Source organism: Homo sapiens, chromosome 1 (genome assembly GCF_000001405.40).
Source record: "Homo sapiens chromosome 1, GRCh38.p14 Primary Assembly".
Lineage (NCBI taxonomy): Eukaryota > Metazoa > Chordata > Mammalia > Primates > Hominidae > Homo > Homo sapiens.
In genome coordinates this window covers 175,839,598-175,858,862 of record NC_000001.11, presented here as the reverse complement: position 1 = coordinate 175,858,862, position 19,265 = coordinate 175,839,598, and positions in this window count along the sequence as shown.

Here is a 19,265-nt window from a genome sequence, read left to right as displayed (position 1 = left end):
CTGTAATCCCAGCACTTTCGGAGGCTGAGGCAGGAAGATCACTTGAGCCCAGGAGTTTGAGATCAGCCTGGGCAACATCGACCATATCTCTACAAAAATAAAAAATTAGCTGGGCATGTGTTACATGCCTGTAGTCCCAGCTATTTGAGAGGCTGAGGTGGGAGGATAGCTTGAGCTCAGGAGTTGGAGGCTGCAGTGAGCCATGATGGTGCCACTGCACTCCAGCCTGAGCAACAGAGTGACACCGTGTCTCTAAACACACCCCCTCAACACACACACACACTTACAAGTGGGGTAGAAGAAAAGAAAATGGAATTGGCTTACATTGTTAGTTTTCAACACATTTGGTAATATTTCATTTTTTAAGTTGGGTGGTAGATACACAGTTGTTCATTATATTATATGTTCTTTCTTTTGGTATGACTGAATTATTCCATAATTAAAATAATGATAATAACCATACAATTAAAAAAAAAACCCACAACTCTATTTTAGGAAAGAGAACTGAAGCAGAGCAAAGAGGTTTCAAATCTGTTTGTGAGTTTGTTTTATCTTATGTCTTGTGTAAGGACCTTTTTGAGTGAAAAGCTGCCAGTTTTTTTGCTGTTTGGCTGACATTATTTGAAGCAGCCCAGGAACTCAGTAAAATTAAAAAGGTGGATCCGTATGTGCCAGCCCTGTCACCAGTTGGCATAATTGGAGCCACTGGATGAAGCTCTGTGGAACAGGTGATGTGATTTTAAGCAGCATAAATCAGGGACTGCCGTATACTGTCTGACCAGCTTCTCAGAGGGCTCTGGGAGCCTCCCTCAGTCTCCCCAGCTGAAGCAGGGAAGAGAAAGCAGGCAGGGAAGGGTTAGGAGGGGAGGAGGGGCTGGAGGGCAGGACCGCGTTCAGCTGGGGATTGTTGGCAATCAGTGAGGACCAGCTGAGCAAAGCCTGGGAGGTGATGGAGTGTTTCCCGGGAGCCCGAGGATTGGAGCAGCAAGGTTTTGTTTGGAAATTACAAGGATTTGGTGTCTGTCAAGTGTCATTAGTGCATTGGGAGCTGGAGCGGCCTTGAGAACTAGGCTGTGTCCTGCCTTGCAGGCTCATCCAATAGAATGACTTGGGGATTGAGATTCAACAACACTTAAATCAAAATAGCAACAGCAGCCTCCCCATCTTTTTTTGCTCAGGCTTTGCTGAGAGTAAAGAACCTGTGATCCCTTAACATCCTTTTTCTACCTGATGGCCACTTTTTAGCCCGCCCAGACCCCCAAGCACCCATGCTGGAGAGCCCAGACCCAGGGCCAGGGGCAGAAATCAAGCCACTGGTCCTAAAAAATGATGACACCAAAGATTTAGGTAAACTTTGTCACAGAGGAAAGGCAGCAGACGGTCCTCAGTTTTGTCCACACTGCCTTCCTAGCTGGCTACACCACTTAGGCTCCCTGTCATTGGGGTAACTTCAAGGGGGAAAGAACAAGTGAAAAGATAGGAAAGTCAGCTGAGAGTCAAAGTCATAAGGGATACCCTGGAGTAGTTTGTGTCTGTCCCAAATAAGGCGCAGACTCTCAGCAGGCCTCTCACATATGGTGGTGCAGGATGCGCATTGCCCAAACCCAGGAGGAAACAATGTTTTCTGGAGTTGGGCAGTGCATGGTTGTATATGGGCAGGTTTGAGAGGGGTCTCAATGCAGTAATATACAGTTAACGTCTGTTAAGCAGCCATTCTGCATCAGGCACTATGAGAAGGATTTGTAGGCAATTTGATCCTTACAGCAATTTGATAAGTAGGAATTTTTTTCCCCACCGTAAGATACACCAGGAAAGATACCAAGTCTTCAGTTCTCATATAAAGGGAGCTTGCTTTCCATCAACTTCAAGTGCAAGTTTCTGACAGTTTTAAAAGTGTGCGTTCTGCTTGTTTTAGGTGATGTCTCTGTAGGTATTCATGTGCACACATGTATGAGAGGGAAAGGTGGAACAAGCCACAGGCTGAGTCTGGATTTGTACTGGGTTTTGTCTCAGAGAACCCCAGGTCCTCACTCTTTCCAAGCCTATGATTCCTTATCTGTCCATCTTTCTCTAGACCTGAGTTTCTTTCCTGTTTCTTTCTTTGTCCAAATAGAACTGTGAAGCCAGTGAGCTCACGTACAATGATGATGGCTGTGTTTCTTGAAATCAGGGTGAGAAGCCCACAGCACATGGTGTCATGTTGGCAGTTTTCCTGCATGCTCATCCACACCCAGGGAAGAGAAACTTCTCCGCTGCTCCAGCTTTGTCCTCTCTCTGGCTGAGCCGATGGGAGCTAACCTCCTGGGGGCCGTGGGGCTGTGTGTGCTGGCTCAGGCTCTCTGACTGCCTGCGCCATGGCTGGGTTTCCTGGGACAGCTAGCCTCCTGGAGGAAGGCATCAGGAATCCCATTTTATAGCTAAGGTGGCAAAGGCTCAGTGAAGTTAAACAGTTTGCCCGAGAATATCTAACTAGTACATGCCAGAGATTGGACCAAATCTGGATTTGACCCAGTTCAAACCCTTTATTGCTTGCCTGCTGGCGGCTCTAACTCCAAGTTGGAAAGACAGAGGAGCCGGCCCTTCACTCTGAGAGCCCCCAGTCCCTGGAGCCACCATCTTAGTACCTGAGACCCCTCCTCCTCAGAGCCACTACCTGCCTCCACCTGCCTCCAAAGCCAGGCCCTCGTTTACAGCACTTGCGGGAGGGGCTGAGTGCGATATACACAGTTAACATCTGCTAAGCAGCTATTTTGTGTCAGGCAGTGTGTGAAGGGTTTTAAGAATGTTCTTTAATCCTCATAGCAATTCTTCAGGTAGGGATTTTGCTCACTGAGTAGATGTAGCAAGGAAGATGCCCAGGGTTTGCTTCCCATGTGAAGAGCCCAGCAGGACTCTCGCTGCCTTGGCATGTCTGACCACTCTTCAGATGGTGGGGGAACGGTGGGGATGCTGCAGCTTAAGACAGTCACAGATCCTTAGAGATCTACCACTCACCAGCAGCCACCTCCTAAAATTCCACTGTCCTGGAACATCATAAAAGCCCATGAGAAACCTAGAATAGTCTTGAACCAGAGTGTCCCTGCACTAGCTAGAGGTTCCATTCACTGGGGGAACCCAGAAGCAGAGAGGTTCCCTTCTGTAGAGCAGGCCCCTAGACCACCACCTTATTCTCAAGCTCCTCTTCTGGATTGAGGGACCCCAAGTGCTATCCTCTGAGGCAGCTATATGCAAAGCAGGAAATGATGATGGGTCAGGGAGCCTTGGAAAACAGGTCACAGCTAAATTCCTAGCAAAAGGCAGGTATGCAGCGTTGTTGTCTCCAGGTTGGCCCATCTCAGACCTGTCTGATGTCCCTCTGTAAACCTCCACGGTTTATTCTCCAGGCCAGCAGGGCTGCCTTTCAGGGTTCTTGAGGAGTCTAAGGTACTTTCTGCCTACCCTCTGGGAAAATCCTGTATTTCAGCCCCAAATGCCTGCTTTCTGTTTCCTAGATGCTCCCACCCCTCAAGTTCCAGCAGTAGCTCTTCCAAGGGGGCACTTTTGTTCCCACAAAAATAACACCCATTCTCTTACTTCTCCTCAGTCACATTGACTTCAGCCTAGTTCATTCCCTCATGGCTCCACTACCCCTTCCAATGCCTCATCTTGGATTTCAGACATGGCAGGATATCTGTTTCCATCATTTTGTTTTCAGTGGGTTAATTTCTGCCTCATGATGCATCAGTGTTTCCCAAATCTTCAGGACAGCAGCCTCTTCATGGTCACGGGCAATTCTTTTAAAGAATTCGGGCTGGGTACAGTGGCTCATGCCTGTAATCCCAATACTTTAGGAGGCCAAGACAGGAGGATCACTTGAGGCCAGGGTTTGAGATCAGCCAGGGCAACATCGTGAGACCCTGTCTCTACAAAATATTTAAAAATTAGCCAGGGGTGGTGGCATGTGCCTGTGGAAGCTGATGTGGGAGGATCACTGGAGTCCAGGAGTTGGAGGCTACAGTGAGGCATGATGATGCCACTACACTCCAACCTGGGTGAAAGGGTGAGATCCTAAAATAAATAGTTGAAACACATTCAGGTGTAGAACCTCTGACTTCCCTCTGTGAGCTGGGGAGGGATGGGGAGGAAAGAAAAAGGGAAGATTTCTATTTCACAGCATTGCTTGCCAAAGCATTAGTCAGTTATTTGACCCCAGATAACATGATAATTAATAATGTAATAAGGTGCAATTTATAGGCACTCATGCCTGAAGGTCTTGGGTCCCAAGGTCCTTGGTAAAAAGCAAAATTAAAAGCATTTATAATCTCAAAGAAGACAGCACTACCAGAGTTCATGAGACTGAAGATAACTGAGGCTGCTGTGCTCCACACTCAGTGGACAGTAGTTCAGGCTCTCAGCTCTGAAGAGAATCCCCACACCCCCATATTTCCACTCAGCAGGGTGGGAAGTTGGCCACATGCATTTGACTGTAGCATCCCCCCAACAGACCTCCTAAAAAAAAGCCTTTATTTTTATCCACTCTTTATCTCTGCTATTGAAAGATGGGGAAGACATACACAGGCATAAGGTGAAATCCTGGATCTCTATTTAATGGCTACTGACCTTGAGTGTCTTTCTACACCTCAGTTTCCACTTGAGAGGATTGTTGTATGGGAGAATGAGAACAGCCACAAAGCCCTTTTGAGTTTACAAAGTGCATTTTGGCATGCATTATCTCCTATCATTCTTTAACAACTCTCCAAAGTTTTGGAGCATAGACTACCTACCCAATATCTATTCTCATCTACTTTGTTTCTAAGACTCCCCATTTTATTCCAGGTGGCAATGTGCAAAACTAAAACATTTCCCAACCTTCCTCACAGAGAGAAATGGTCATTGTAATGTAAGCGAGAGTTGTTGAGGTTGAAAGGAAGTCCTAGGAAAATTCTTCAAGGAGGCTGACTCACCTAAGAGTATGCCCTTTTCCCCCATCCCTTCTTCCTTCTAATTCCTGTCTAGAATTCAGACATGGTGGTTGGTGCTGTGGCAGCCGTCTTGGATTATGAGGTGTACTTGAAGTTGAAAGCCATGTGTCAAGGACGGTAAAACAGAAAACAAGAAAGATCCTGGAGTCTCCAAATGACTGTGGAGCTGTCGTAGCAGCTTGGAACAATCTGTCAATTTTTTTTTTACATGAGAAGATAATAAACCTCTGTCTTGTTTAAGCTAATGCAGTATATCTTATACTGATATGTATGATTATTCTGTTTTTCGAGTGGAGAAATTGTGGCTCAACACAGTTAAGCAACTTGCGCAAACCCATTTCTTTAGTAAAAGAAGAGGTTGCAGTCACATTCCTGAGAGAGAGCACTGTCTTTCCACATTCCCAATTCTTCTTCGGTTTGCAAAGATCCGTAAACATTAAGAATCAGGTGACGTTCTTCTTCTGCCTGAAGATCAAAGCAGCTTGCTGCCTTTTGGCACCAGGAGCTCTTTTCTCCCAAGGGCTCTTTCATCTCTCTGGCTTCCCTTTTTATTCCTCCCTTCTCTCCACCCTTGCCTCTTCTGCCATTCAGTGCTTCCCACAACCATTTTACCTACTGGTGCGACATACTGTGGCAACCCTAAGCCCCAGGTCAGGCATGGGAAGTGGAGGACAGGTTACTGCCCCTGCTTTTGCATGTCCCTGGTAGAACCAAGACAGAGCCATTCCAGCCCTGGAGCTGCCTCCTCTTGGGTTCCCTAGCTCTGGCTTCTGAGTGTTGCCAGGCAATGGAGGGCCTGTTCCATGCTGTCCTTCCAGCCCTCAATCAGCCTTCTTCCACCCACTTGAATGACTAAGAAGTGGGCAGGTATGTTGTGCTGTGAACTTCTTGGAAGTCTGTGAGAGGTTGGCAGTGAGATGATAGATTCAGCCTGTCCCAGGTGGGTGAGCTGCAGTAAATCAGCTGCACCTAATCCTGGACCTTTGTGCCAGACAGAGGAGCCGGCTTTCCATGTCCCAGGAGGATACACAATTTAAGAAGGAAACACAAATCTCTATAGTGAATATGAAGCTTTAGAATGGACCTGTGTCTTTTGCCATCCTCTGATCCATCCAGTGCCTAAAAAACTGAGTGTTGATTTCTGGTTTGGCAGGATGGATTCAAGAATGCTGAGCTAGACAGAGATGACATGAGAGAGCCCCTGAGAGCAGAGCTGGCAGTCCACAACATGTGAGGGAGCAATCGCAGTCCTGGGCCTGGTTGGAGTTCTAATAGCCATGTGGACCTGGATGGAGTGGTGATGTCCTCAAAAACTAGAGACTCGAAACATAATACAGACTTTTTTTGGTCTTATATGCAAATTATTATAAAGGGTGAAAAGAGGTCCATACTGAGTTTTTCAATCCTTCCTCAATCCGAATGCAGAAGAGCCAGGGAAAATGCTTCTCTTTTCCACTGATCAACCAGTTGATTGAAGCAAATAATGATAATAGCCAATACTTACATACTGTTTACTATGCCATGCTCTGAGTTAAGTTGTCACATATAATAACTCAATCCTTACCATAACTATCTGCTATAGGTACTATTATTGTGCTCATTTCATGAAGGAGAATGCTGAGAAACAGAGCACGTTGGTAACTTGCCCAAGGTCACAGAGCTGGAGAGTGGTGGGGTCCCAAACTTAGGCAGCCTGGCTCCAGAGTTTGTGCTCTTAGCCATTACAGGCACTGCTTCTCAAAGGATGCTGGACCTGGGGCTCACTAGAAAAGCATGGAGACAGGATTATTTTGGTTCTATTTCTAGCTCTGCCATTTACTAGGATTGGTTTATCATCAAGATAATTAGGACATAAATATCTATTTCCTGTGAGGGAAGTATGTAAAATGCATGGATCCTCCCACTGCATGATAATCAAGTACTTTCGCATATGGTCTCTTTTCTCCAAACATATCTCATTGCCCATTCAATATGTTCCTCTGGGCATCACAACCCTTAGTGAGAGAGCAAGTCTGGGTACAATTATCCACATTTTATGTAGGAGAAAATTGATGCCTAGCAATGTTTCCTGGACTCCTTCCAGGACGTCCCACTAGCTCTCTTTCTTGTCTTTTAGCTATCTTCAAAAATTTTTATCTATTTTCAATGGACAAATAAAATTGCACATATTTATTAGGTACAACATGATGTTTTGAAATATATATGCACTATGGAATGGTTAAATCGAGCTAATTTTTTTTTTTTTTTTTTTGAGACAGAGTCTCGCTCTGTCGCCAGGCTGGGGTGCAGTGGCACCATCTCGGTTCACTGCAACTTCTGCCTCCTGGGTTCAAAAGATTCTCCTGCCTCAGCCTCCTGAATAGCTGGGACTACAGGCTCGCACCACCATGCCCAGCTAATTTTTGTATTTTTAGTAGAGACGGGGTTTCACCATGTTGGCCAGGATGGTCTCCATCTCTTGACCTCGTGATCCGCCTGCCTCGGCCTCCCAAAGTACTGGGATTACAGGCATGAGCCACCGCATCCAGCCAAATCGAGCTAATTAACATATGCATTACCTCACATACTTATCACTTTTTGTGGTAAGAACACTTAAAATCTATTCTCTTAGCTATTTTAAAGAATGCAATAGATGGAGTGCAGTGGCTCACGTCTGTAATCCCAGCACTCTGGGAGGCCAAGGAGGGCAAACTGCTTGAGCCCAGGAGATCAAGACCAGCCTGGGCAACATGGTGAAACCCCATCTCTACAAAAAATATAAAAATTAGCCAGGTGTGGTGGCACACACCCGTAGTCCCAGCTACTCAGGAGGCTGAGGTGGGAGGATCCCTTGAACCTAGGAAGTCAAGGCTGCAGTGAGCCAAGATCACAAAACTGCACTCCAGCCTGGGTGACAAAGTGAAACCTAGTTTCCAAAAAAAAAAAACAAAAAAAAAATGCATTAACTATTGTTGCTATGTTTTATGATAGCTCTCTTGAACTTATTCCTCCTACCTAACTAAAATTTTGTGTCCTTTCACCAACATCTCCTACTCCAGATCCCACAACTCCCCCTCATCCCCCACAGCTCCTGGTAATCATCATTTCAAAACTCTCTATTTTTAGGAGTTCACTTGTTTTATATTCCACATATAAGTGAGATCATGTGGTATAAATGTTGTCTTTTAAATGATTCAAACAGTACAGAGGGATACAGAGTGGCGTTCCCACATTTTTCTTTGGTATCCACCACTATTAGTATTTTTGTATTGTTCTTTCAGTACTTTCGGTAAGTGTAGTGCATATGCACTTACAACGTTTAAAGAGCATGCATGTGATTGTTTTGTATTCGTTGTCTGCCTTGTGTGCCTCACAATGTTACTCTCTAGAGGTCTGCTCCATTTTTTTAATGGTGTCATGATATTCCATAGTATACATATGTCAGTATTTGTTTATTCCCTCTGCTATTATTGGGCATTTAGGTTAGTTCCATTTTTTGTGATTATAGTTAATGCTGCAATGATTGCCCTTATTCATATGTTTCAGTGCACACATGCAACAATTTTCATAGAATGGGTTTCTAGAAATATAATTATGGGCCTGATAGTATGGTTATTTAAAAATTTTAAGTACTACCAGCTGGGCGCATTGCCCCGCACCTGTAATCTCAGCACTGAGGCGGGCTGATTGCTTGAGCCCAGGAGTTCAAGACCAGCCCGGGCAACATGGTGAAACCCCATCTCTACAAAAAATACAAAAAGTGGCTGGGCATGGTGGTGTGCACCTGTAGTCCCAGCTACTCAGGAGGCTGGGGTGGGAGGATCACTTGAGCCTGGGAGATTGAGGCTGCAGTGAGGCATGTTCATACCACTACACTCCAGCCTGGGTGGCAGAGTGAGACCCTGCCTCAAAAAAAAAAAAAAAAAAAAAAAAAAAGAGAAGTAGTACCAAATTGTAATCTTGTAATCTGATATATTTTGGATATTTGTTCCTGCCCGAATTTCATGTTGAATTGTAATTGTAATCCCCAATGCTGGAGATGGGGCCTGGTGGGAGGTGTTTGGGTCAGATGGGGACCCAAACATGGGGACAGATCCTTTATGGCTTGGTGCTGTCTTTGAATAGTGAGTGAGTTCTTGTGAGATCTCGTCATTTAAAAGTGTGTGGCACCTCCTCCCCCACTCACCTGTTCCTGTTCTCTCCATGTGAAGTGCCTGCTCACCCTTTGCCTTCTGCCATAGTAAAAGCTCCCTGAGGCCTTCCCAGAAGCAGAGCAAATGTTGGTACATGCTTCCTGTGCAGCCTGAGGAACCATGAACCAGTTCAAACTCTTTTCTTTATAAACCTCTTTTCTTTATAAATTTTGCAGTCTCAGGTGTTTCTTTATAGGAGTGCAAGATGGCCTGACACATAATCTGAACCAGTTTTGCCAAATGACATGTCCACCAGCAGCATCCAAGAGGAGCCATTCCCCAACTAGCTTGCCAATGCTATGTATTTCCAATTTTCTAAATTTTTACTTTTCTAGTGAATAAAAAATGACACCCTATTCGTGGTTTAAATAGAATTTCCCTGATTACAAGGTTGGGCATTTAAAATATTTATTAGCCATTTGTATTTCTTCTTCTATAAAATTTCATTTATATTCTTTGCTTCTTCTCCACTGGGTTTTGGCTTTTCTCTATTGATGTACAGTAGCTTTCTATATTCTAGATATTGACTTTGTTTCTGTTGCATATTTAGCAAGAGTTTTCCCACTGGTTTTTCTCTCCTGTCTTTTAAGTTTGTTTGTGGTATCCTTTAATGTATAGAAATTTTAAATTTCTAAGTAAGTATAGCCTCTCATTATTTTTCAAATTATGGAAGGTTCCAAACTAATAGACAAATATAAAGAATACCATAAAATCTGTATACTCACAACCAGCTTTATAGAATTTTAACATCTTGCTTCATTTGAACACCCCCACTATCTTATAATTTTTCATTTGGACTTTTAATTTTACCTTTTAAAAAACAAACACAAATATTTATCTTTTTACAGTAAATTGCAATTGCATTTACTGCCATGTTTTGTAAATTTCTGTGTTCATCATTGCTTCTTGTGATCTTCTCTCTGGCTTTATTTTATTTCTAAATAAAATACACTCTTGCTAGTGCTTTTAGTGAGGGTCTGTGGATGTTAAATTTTTTTAGCATTTTTATATCAGAAAATGTTTTTATTTTGTCCTCATTCTTAAATAATAGCTGTGGCAGTGACTGCTAGTTATCCACTCCGTGTCCTTATTCTCCTTCTTCCTTAGAAACAGAATTGGAATGCTGGTTTTATTTGGGCACGGTCATGTGCTCAGCAGAAAGACTACATTTCCCAGACTCTCTCGTAGCTGTGAGTGGCCAATGAGATGTAAGAAGAAAACACTGAGTGCAGGGAGCCTTCTTAAAAGGGGCTGACTTCGCTAAGAGGGTCACACTTTTGCCCTCATCTTTCTTTCCTTGAACATAGAAGCCTACACGAGACAGTGAAGAAAGAAGCTACTAGCTAAGGGAGACAGAGTGGAAGCAAGGAGAGGGGACCCTTCAGGCTCTGTGATGCCCCATACCACTCCTAGGCTGCCACTTCCACACCCTTTTGATGGGAGAGAATTAATCCTTTATTTAATTTGTTTTAGCTTCTGTTATTAAGTCTTTGCTGCTAATAGCAAAACTCAATCTAGGTTAATGTTTGTTTTCTTTTCACATTTTGAGGGGATATTCTATTGTCCTTTGTCATCTGTTATTGTGGACAAGAGGTCTGCTGTTAGTATAATTGTTCTATCTTGGTGTTTCGGTAAAGATTTTCCCATGATCCTCGTTATTCTTTAATATGTCTGTGAGTGGATTTATTTTTCTTTAACTTGCTAGATAGTTAGCATACACTTTCCATTTAAAGACATGTCTTTACCCAATTTTGGAAAAGTTTCAGCAATTTTCTCTTCAAATATTGATTTTCTGCCATTGCTTTCATTCTCTCTTTTCCTGGAATTAGATGAATGTTAAAATTTCTCTCTCTATTGTTCCTTCTTGTCTCTTAACTGCATTCCAAATATATATGTATGTATATACATATACACATACACATATATTGCTATATATAAACACACAAACATGCAGCTATACATAGTATATATATGTGTTTATGTATGTGTGTATATACATATCTCTATCTACACATACACACACACACACACACACACACACACACACAGGATTCTAGGTGAATTCCTTGGTTTCATCTTCTAGATATGAAATCTTTAACAGTGTTCAATTTCAAGTTTTTATCAAGTATTGAATTTTTAAAATTTAATAATTTTTGTTAATTCCTAGGATTTCTAGTGGGTTTTTCTTTCTTATCTCACTGTTTGCATTTTATTGCTGCAAGATTTAATAATTCCTTATTCTTTTCAGTTTGGAAGTTATGCCTTCATTTTTCTCTAAGAACATACTAAAGATACTGTACCTTAAAGTCTGTCCAGGCCAGATACACTGTTTCTTACCTGTAATCCCAGTGCTTTGAGAGGCTGAGGTGGGAGAATTACTTGAGGCTGGGAGTTCAAGAGTAGCAACATAGTGAGACCCTGTCTCTGCAAAAAACAAAAAAATAAAAAAATTAGTCTGATGTGGTGGCATGTGCCTGTAGTCCTAGCTACTTGAGAGGCTGAGGTGGGAGGATCACTTGAACTCAGGAGTTTGATATTACAGTGAGCTATGATTATCCCACTGCACTCCAGCCTGGGTGACAGAGCAAGACCCTGTCTCTAAAAATCAAAAATAAAAATTAAAAAGTCTGTCCAACTGTTGTACAAACTTGTTTTCACCTAGAGCGAATTTATATTCAACTGCTTTGCTGACTGTCTGAATTAGCTCTTAATTTCTGCATGTATATTGGAATTCCAGTTTGGAGGCTCATTTTGAGGGAAGTTTTTGTTTGTTTATTTCTCTCTCCTCTCTATCTAGCTGTCTTGTGTTTACCTTGGCCTGACTAGAGTTTCCAGAGAAAATACAAGATGTCTATTAAATTTAAACTTCAATCAAACAACAAATAATTTTAAATATAAGTATGTCTCAAATATTGAATGAAATGCACTTGTACTATGCAATTATTTGAATTTAAAAGGATAGTCTGCAATTTTATTTGCAAAACGTGGCAACCTTATATCTGATGCTCTGTAATCCTATCTAAAACCAGATCTTATGGGGATTTGGGTTATTACTCCATGATGATATCTAGGTTATCAACAAAAGCAAAACAAAGCAATACAAAAGACAAAGCAAAAGCTGCCTTTTCAGGGCAATAGAGAAGGTTCTTGCTACCTGATATTCTCTCTTCTGGGACAGGACCTTCCCTACTTCTTGCAAAATGTGAAAGGCCATTATTGGAGGCTCAGCTCTTCAGCTCTCCCTGCTGCCTCAGAACAGCTCTTTCCCTCTGAATATCAGCACGCACCTCATTTGTAAGTCTACTCAGTAGAGCACTAAATTTGTCTTGCATACAGGTCAAGACCATTAAATGTTATGGAACCATGATTTACAAAAGAAAGGAAAGAGGTAGTTCCTGTCCCCAAAGAGCTTATAATCTAGTTTGAAGCCAGAACAAATGCAGGAAGAAAGATGGAAGGAAATTTACAAGACAAGCAAGAGTCAGTGCCAACTAATTAGGCTAAGGCTGATATGGAGGTAAGTAGTTAATTGAGATGGTGTCCCAGAAAAGGGAGATACTCTTTATTGAGTATCTACTACGAGCCACCTAGATGATCTCACTTAATTCTCATTACAGTTTTATGAGGCAGGATTTATCATCCTGATTTTATAGAGAAGGAAATTGAGGCTCAGAATGATTAAATGTCTTGCCCTATGTAATGTGATTAATAAATAGGTCTTCTAACACCACACTATTTTGACAAATTTGTGGATTAATGCTGGCGGGTTATCATTGAAAAATGTTGGGAAAGGAAGTCAAGAAATAGTGGTCTCGTTTTAAGACCTTAAAATGCAAAGTTAGAAAACACCACAGCAATCATTCTAAAAGGACTATCCTGCAACATTTTCCATAATCTTTTCCGGTACTTTTCTAGAAACAGAACTTGGATAGATCAAAATGTATTGACCAAGGTATTGACCAAAAGGAAGGACTTCAGAACTATGGCTATTGATATTTGTGTTAGTCTGTTTAGATGTCTATCTCCTTTGCATTCCAGACTAATCCTGCATTGGGGTGGGGGTGGGTATACTAATTGAAATCACGGCACTAAATGCAGTTATGAAATAAACTGTGGCTGGGCTTTGATGAATTCCCCTGGGAAGTGAGTCATTGTGCCCCAAGAGAGAGTTGGGTGCTATAAAATTTTATATCCCCAAGTTGGGAATGACTATGTTTTCTCAGAGTAGCAGAGATGCCAGTAACTTATTTCTGTCTTCTCAAATATGCGGCAATGACGTTTATGGCATCACATGCCATCAACCTGTACTCAGGCAGAGCTCTGCCTTGACACCTTCTCAACCTTCTCCACAGAATCTGGGGGACATAGTCAGGGGCAGTATTTGCCATGAGTCGAGCTTGCAGACTGTCTGCAAGTAAGATGGAAATGTCACTGTGCTGCCAGTGTAGAAAATGGCAATATTTATGGGAGGTTACTCTGAGCACTGAATTGGGGGAAATGATTAATTGCACTGGAAACAAGTTGGGAATCCTAACGACTGAGTTAGCGGGCCTAAACTAAAAATATAGGAGAAATTGGAGAGGAGGGAAATGTGTCCCTCCCTCCAAACATCCTTGAGAAAAGCAATAGAGAGAATTGAGCCAGGAGAGGGCAGACTTTAAGTTATCCACACTACTGTTCCCAGGGTGGTAAGTATGATGGGCAATAGGGCTGAATCTAATCATCATCTTCATAACATAACCTCATGTTTGTGTTTGCATTATAATTTTCCATTTCCTTACATTCATTCTCTATACATGCATTTATTCAGTGTTTATTGAATGCCTACTATTTACCACACAGATAATTGAGCCCTGGGAAGCAATGAGTAAATGCTGTTATGGTCCTTGTAGACCATATGGAGCTTAAAGTTCAGTGTGAGAGGCAGACAGGAGTCAGAGGGTCAAAAACCACTGTGGGCTGGGCGTGGTGGCTCACACTTGTAATCCTAGCACTTTGGGAGGCTGAAGTGGGACAATCACTTGAGCCCAGGAGTTCAAGACCAGCCTGGGCAACATAGCAAGACTCCTGTCTCTAAAAAAATACAAACATTAGTTGTGCATGATTATTCATGCCTGTGGTCCCAGCTACTGGAGAGGCTAAGGTGGGAGGATCGCTTGAGCCCAGGTCAAAGCTGCAGTCAGCTGTGGTCATGCACTGTACTCCAGCCTGGGAGCAAGATCCTGTCTCAACAAAAGAAGAAGAAAACCATTGTGATATTACTACCAAAATGAATTTATGGCTGAGTATGCCTGTGGTCCTAGTTACTTGGGAGGCAGAGGAGGGAGGATCACTTGAGCCCAGGAGTTCAAGGCTGCAGTGAGCTATGCCTGTGAATAACCACTGCACTCCAGCTTTGGCAACATAGATAGAGCCCATCTCTAAAAAAAGATCATGGTATTCTGAATATATATTTTATGTGGCAGCTACTATTCTAGGAGCTGAGGATATAGCAGTAAACAGGGCAAAATCCTGCTCTCCTGAAACTTATGTCTTCGTACAGGAGACAAAACCCAAGTAAACATATAATTTCAAAATAAACGTACGCTGTAATTTCAGGTAGTAAGAAGTGTTATGATAAAAATAAAACAGGGTAAGTGGTTAGAATGTGCCTGGGTGGCTACTTTGGCTAGGATAGTCCCACTGAAGGGATGACTCTTGAGAAGAGAACTGGAAAAACTGGGAGAGGATCCTGCAGATATCTGGGGGAGACAGTTCCAGACCTAGAGAAAGGCATGTGCAGAAGCTCCGAGGCTGGCACAACCTTGGCTGCTGTGTGGAATCAGACCGTGGGTGGGCAAGCATGGAGATAGTGAGGCCAGGAGGAGGTTGTGACAGGAGCCCAGAGGAGCGATGATGCAGGCTCGGACACATGGACCGGGTTGGTGGCGGTGGAGGAGTTGAGACATAGGAGGCTTTGGGTTTCCACCATGAGAGGATTTAATCTAGTTGGGAAGGTCTGGACAGACTTTCCTGAGCAAGTAACATTTGCACTGAGATCTGAAGGCTTAGCAGAAGCAACCAGGTGAAGATAGAAGGAAAGACTATTCTAGTACATAAATGAGCAGGCTCTTTGGGGGAGCAAGTCAAGTCTGAAGCATTGAAACAGATCTGTGTGCCTCGGCAAAAATGAAGAGTGAGGGGAAGCTGGAAAGATGGGCAACATCCAGGCCATGTGGGGCTTTGGGAGCCATAGTGAGGAGCTTGGGCTTTTTCCTAAGTGCTGTGGAGAGTTAAGAAAGGGTTTTCAGTAGAAGTGACATAGTTGGATATATGTCTTGGAAAGGCCTCTGGATGCAGAGTGGAGAAAGCTCCATTTTTCTATTTCACATTCACCCTCTGAAGGAAGTTCTTCTATCCCCATTTTACAGAACAGGAAACTGAGTCTCAGAGGGTTGATGCTGCTTGGCCAGGATACACAGCATGGCTGACTCCTCTCTCTGGAGTCTAAATCCATAGCACTTTGGACCCTTTCACCTCTTCTGCCCTCAGGGTTTCCCCTTCTCTCCCCAGCAACCCCACCCCCCTCCCCACTTGACTATAGCACCCGATAATCACAGGGATTTGATCTGCTCCTTCTTAGACTGCAGGCCACAGGCTCTTCCTCCTTTCCATCTTTCCAGGGTTTTTACTTCTCCTCTGGGTTGAAAAGTTCCAAGGGTGCCAGTGTGCTCTTCATTTTCCTATCCTTTTTAGCATTTATGAATTTAGTATTGTCTCTTCATGGGGCCCTGGAGAGGTAACATATTGTTACTAACATTCCTGCCAACATCCCCCTCTCTCCCTCCTTCAACAAATCAACCTTCCTTCATCCCTCCCTCCCTCCCTTCCCTTTTGCCTTCCCTCAGACTTAAGAAAAGATACTTGACCACTCTGGAGAAAAAGATACGAAAACCAGCTAGCACAGTTTAACTGGATAACAGCATTTGAGGAAGTTGGCCAGATGTGTTCCCCTTGCTGGAGGTCCAGGGGAGGTAAGGGATAGTACAGAGGAAGGAAGTGACTGGGTTTTGAAGAGGAAAAGGGTACAGAAAGAGCTTCCCAAAGAAACTCCCAAATTCACTGCAATCCAATCCAACAGCAGACACTGAGTAGAAAAAGCCTCTGTTTAAAAATGTTTGTGGTCCTTCTAGTCCTCACAGATGGTGAGAGCGAGGAAGATGTGTGCTGATGGAGTATGAAATTTTCAGCAGCTACGGAATAAAAGGCTCAGAAATGGGGGCTAGTGCTCTTGAAAACCCCCAAGGGAGAGAGACCTCGTGAACAACAGAAATTCTGGAGGCTCTGAGTCCTTTCTCATGGCCTGCCTCTCCTCCTCTCCCCTATCCCTCCCAGCACAAATTGCAATTGATCCTATGGGGTAAGGAAGGCTGTTTGGGTGTTATTTATTGTTTTGGTGGCTGTGGATTGTGTTTATTTATTTACTTATTAATTTTGCCAGTCAAACTCAGGTTTATTGACAGGACTGAGCCTGCCCCTGGGCGCTTCCACCCAGCCTACCACAGTGCACAGAGAAATAATTAGTTGCTGAGGTATCAGGAACAGATGTCGAACTGACATCTTCTGTTTACTAGTGTCAAATTCAGCAGTTTTCCTGCCTCCCAATAAATTACCAGCCACTCGCTGCCTTCCTGCCTCCCTTCTGCCAACCTGGTGGGGCTTTCCTCTCTCATTAAGAGCAGAGCAAACACCTCCATGGTGACCTCAGCCTCTAACGTAATCCCCGTCTTCCCCGCTTCTGAGTTTTAAATCTTATTTATGACTTTTTGATGGACATGGCAGGAGGAGAGTGTGGCTTGATTCCCTCCCTCCTAAGAGAAGCTCTAGCTTGCTCTGTTGCTCAGAGAACAGGGAGCCCCCAGGAGCCTCAGGCAGGAGTAGGCTATTAATTGCTTCATACTGGGGCAGTGACCTTTGTCTCCATGGGGCATCCTGAGGCTTTTTTGCAGATGCCATCAAAGTCAACTGCACTTTCAAAGGCCATGCTCAGTTTCTGAACGGTATACAATGTATCTGCTCTGAAACCTCGGCAGAGTGGGGTCTTGGGGGTATTTAGGGAAATGACACAAGGGAGGGTCTAGGGAGGTTAAGGAGAACATTTCAGAAAACAGGTGTAACAGGCATTGTGCTTTGGAGAAGCTGTCAATTTGGGCTGACATGTGGGATAATATCGGGGCTGGCAGGAAATTTATTTATTCATCACTCAGCTCATATACATGTGCCAGGCATGGTGCTAGGTTCTGAGCATGCTGGAATGAGCTATTCTTGGTCCACATTCTTAAGTAGTCTATGGCTGGCCGGCTGGGGAGTCTCGTGGGCCATACTAAGGAGTGTAACCTTTACTATGAAGGCGCTGGGGAGCCTCTGAACAATTTTATTCAAGGGAGCGATGTGATCTGATTTGCATTTAAAAAAGATCACTCTGGAGCCTGAGTGTGGGATGGACAGGGTGTGGGACGATGAATAACACCAGAGATATCATTAGGGAGCTCGTGGAGTAGTCTGGCTGATAAATGACTACGGTCTGCTGAGGCAGTAGGTATGGAGGGAAAAGATTTTAGAGGTAGAGTCAGTATGACTTAGAGATTGGGGTTAAAATAGATGTAAACCCATTACCTTATAGTCCAGAGAAAGTGAAAGGATCTATTTCAGGTCATGCAACCTATAAGACTTGGCAGAACCAAGACGTGACTTCAACTCCCTAACTTCCTCTTGAGAGTTCTGTTCACTCAGAAACAGCTTCCTCTCCCTCCAGATGAAGACCTGGAAGCTGCACCATGCCACTTAATCCAACAGAACTTTGGGAGCGGAAGTTCTAAACGTGGTCTCGTCCAACAGTTTACAGTGTTACCAGCTCCACCTATAGTCTTCCCACTAAAGACATCCAGCACCTGGACACAGGGAACTTATACCTTTTGGCCCCACTCACCCAATTCTTGGAGGGCTTCTTCCCAGAAATACCTAAATCGGCCTGTGACAGATTCTGCCCATTGTTGTTAGTTTTATTCTAAGAGGTCAGAAAAGCAAAACAAATCAAAACACAGAGCAGATTGCAAAGCTCCTGATAGTGAATTCTCATCCCAGAAGCAAAATCTAGTTAGGAGAGATATATGAGCTCAGATGTTTGCTAAGCACTAAACTGCCAGCACTAAACTGGCAGGAATGACTGAGTCACACTTCTCACACCTGTCAAGCTAACGGAGCTACTCTTGTCACTGGTTGAGGGGACTCCTCATATGGGCAGGGCAGGAAACTTATTCATAAAATTTCACCCTCTGAACCCTGGATTTCTAGATTGCACACCCATTATCTCCCATCTCCTGCTTCCTGTGATGTACACAGCGATCTAACAGGCGCTTGTCTGTTCCTGGTAGCAACTCTCTTGTTCCCTCCTACATGCAGATGAGGAGTTAGCCCCAGTGAGGTCTGCGTCCTTGTGCTATTCACTAAACCTATGCAACTAATGTAATTACCTGATGTATCAGCTTAGATACAAGCAGTAATGAGGCTCCCTTTCTGACTTTTAATTGGCTATAATGTGTGATCATGACCTCTTACTAAACTCTTTCCATTAAGCTCTCATGTTTACATAACTCCGTGAGTTTAGCTCATCCGTCCTCCAGAAATTTCCCTGATTTCTGCCCTTTCTGTGAAGTCAATTATCTCCCTGTGTTTGTCTTGCAGATCTTTTTGAAGCCTGAGACGTTCCTGAACCACACAGTGTGTGTGTCTGCCCTTTTTTCCTCTACCCAACCTGGAGATCCTCCGTGTCTCCCATAAACTTCCTGTTGGAATGACCCTCTGGTTTCCTCTTTTCCAGGCGTCTCTAGGACAGTTAACCCTTCTCCTCCTTAGTCACTGTGACTTACTGCTTGCACCTTTTCTCAGCCAGGCAATGGCACATTTCAACACTGTTTGAAGGTTCCTGTGCTTCCCTCCCTCCTAAAGGAACCTGAATTGATTAACACAAGTTTTGCAGCAGCAGCAATAAAAAAAAAAAAAGTTGTAAAAGCCTGGGGAAAACATAAATAGTGACAGAAATGAAACAAAGATACAGACAACTTGGGTTTCAAGAAAGAGAAAAAATACACCC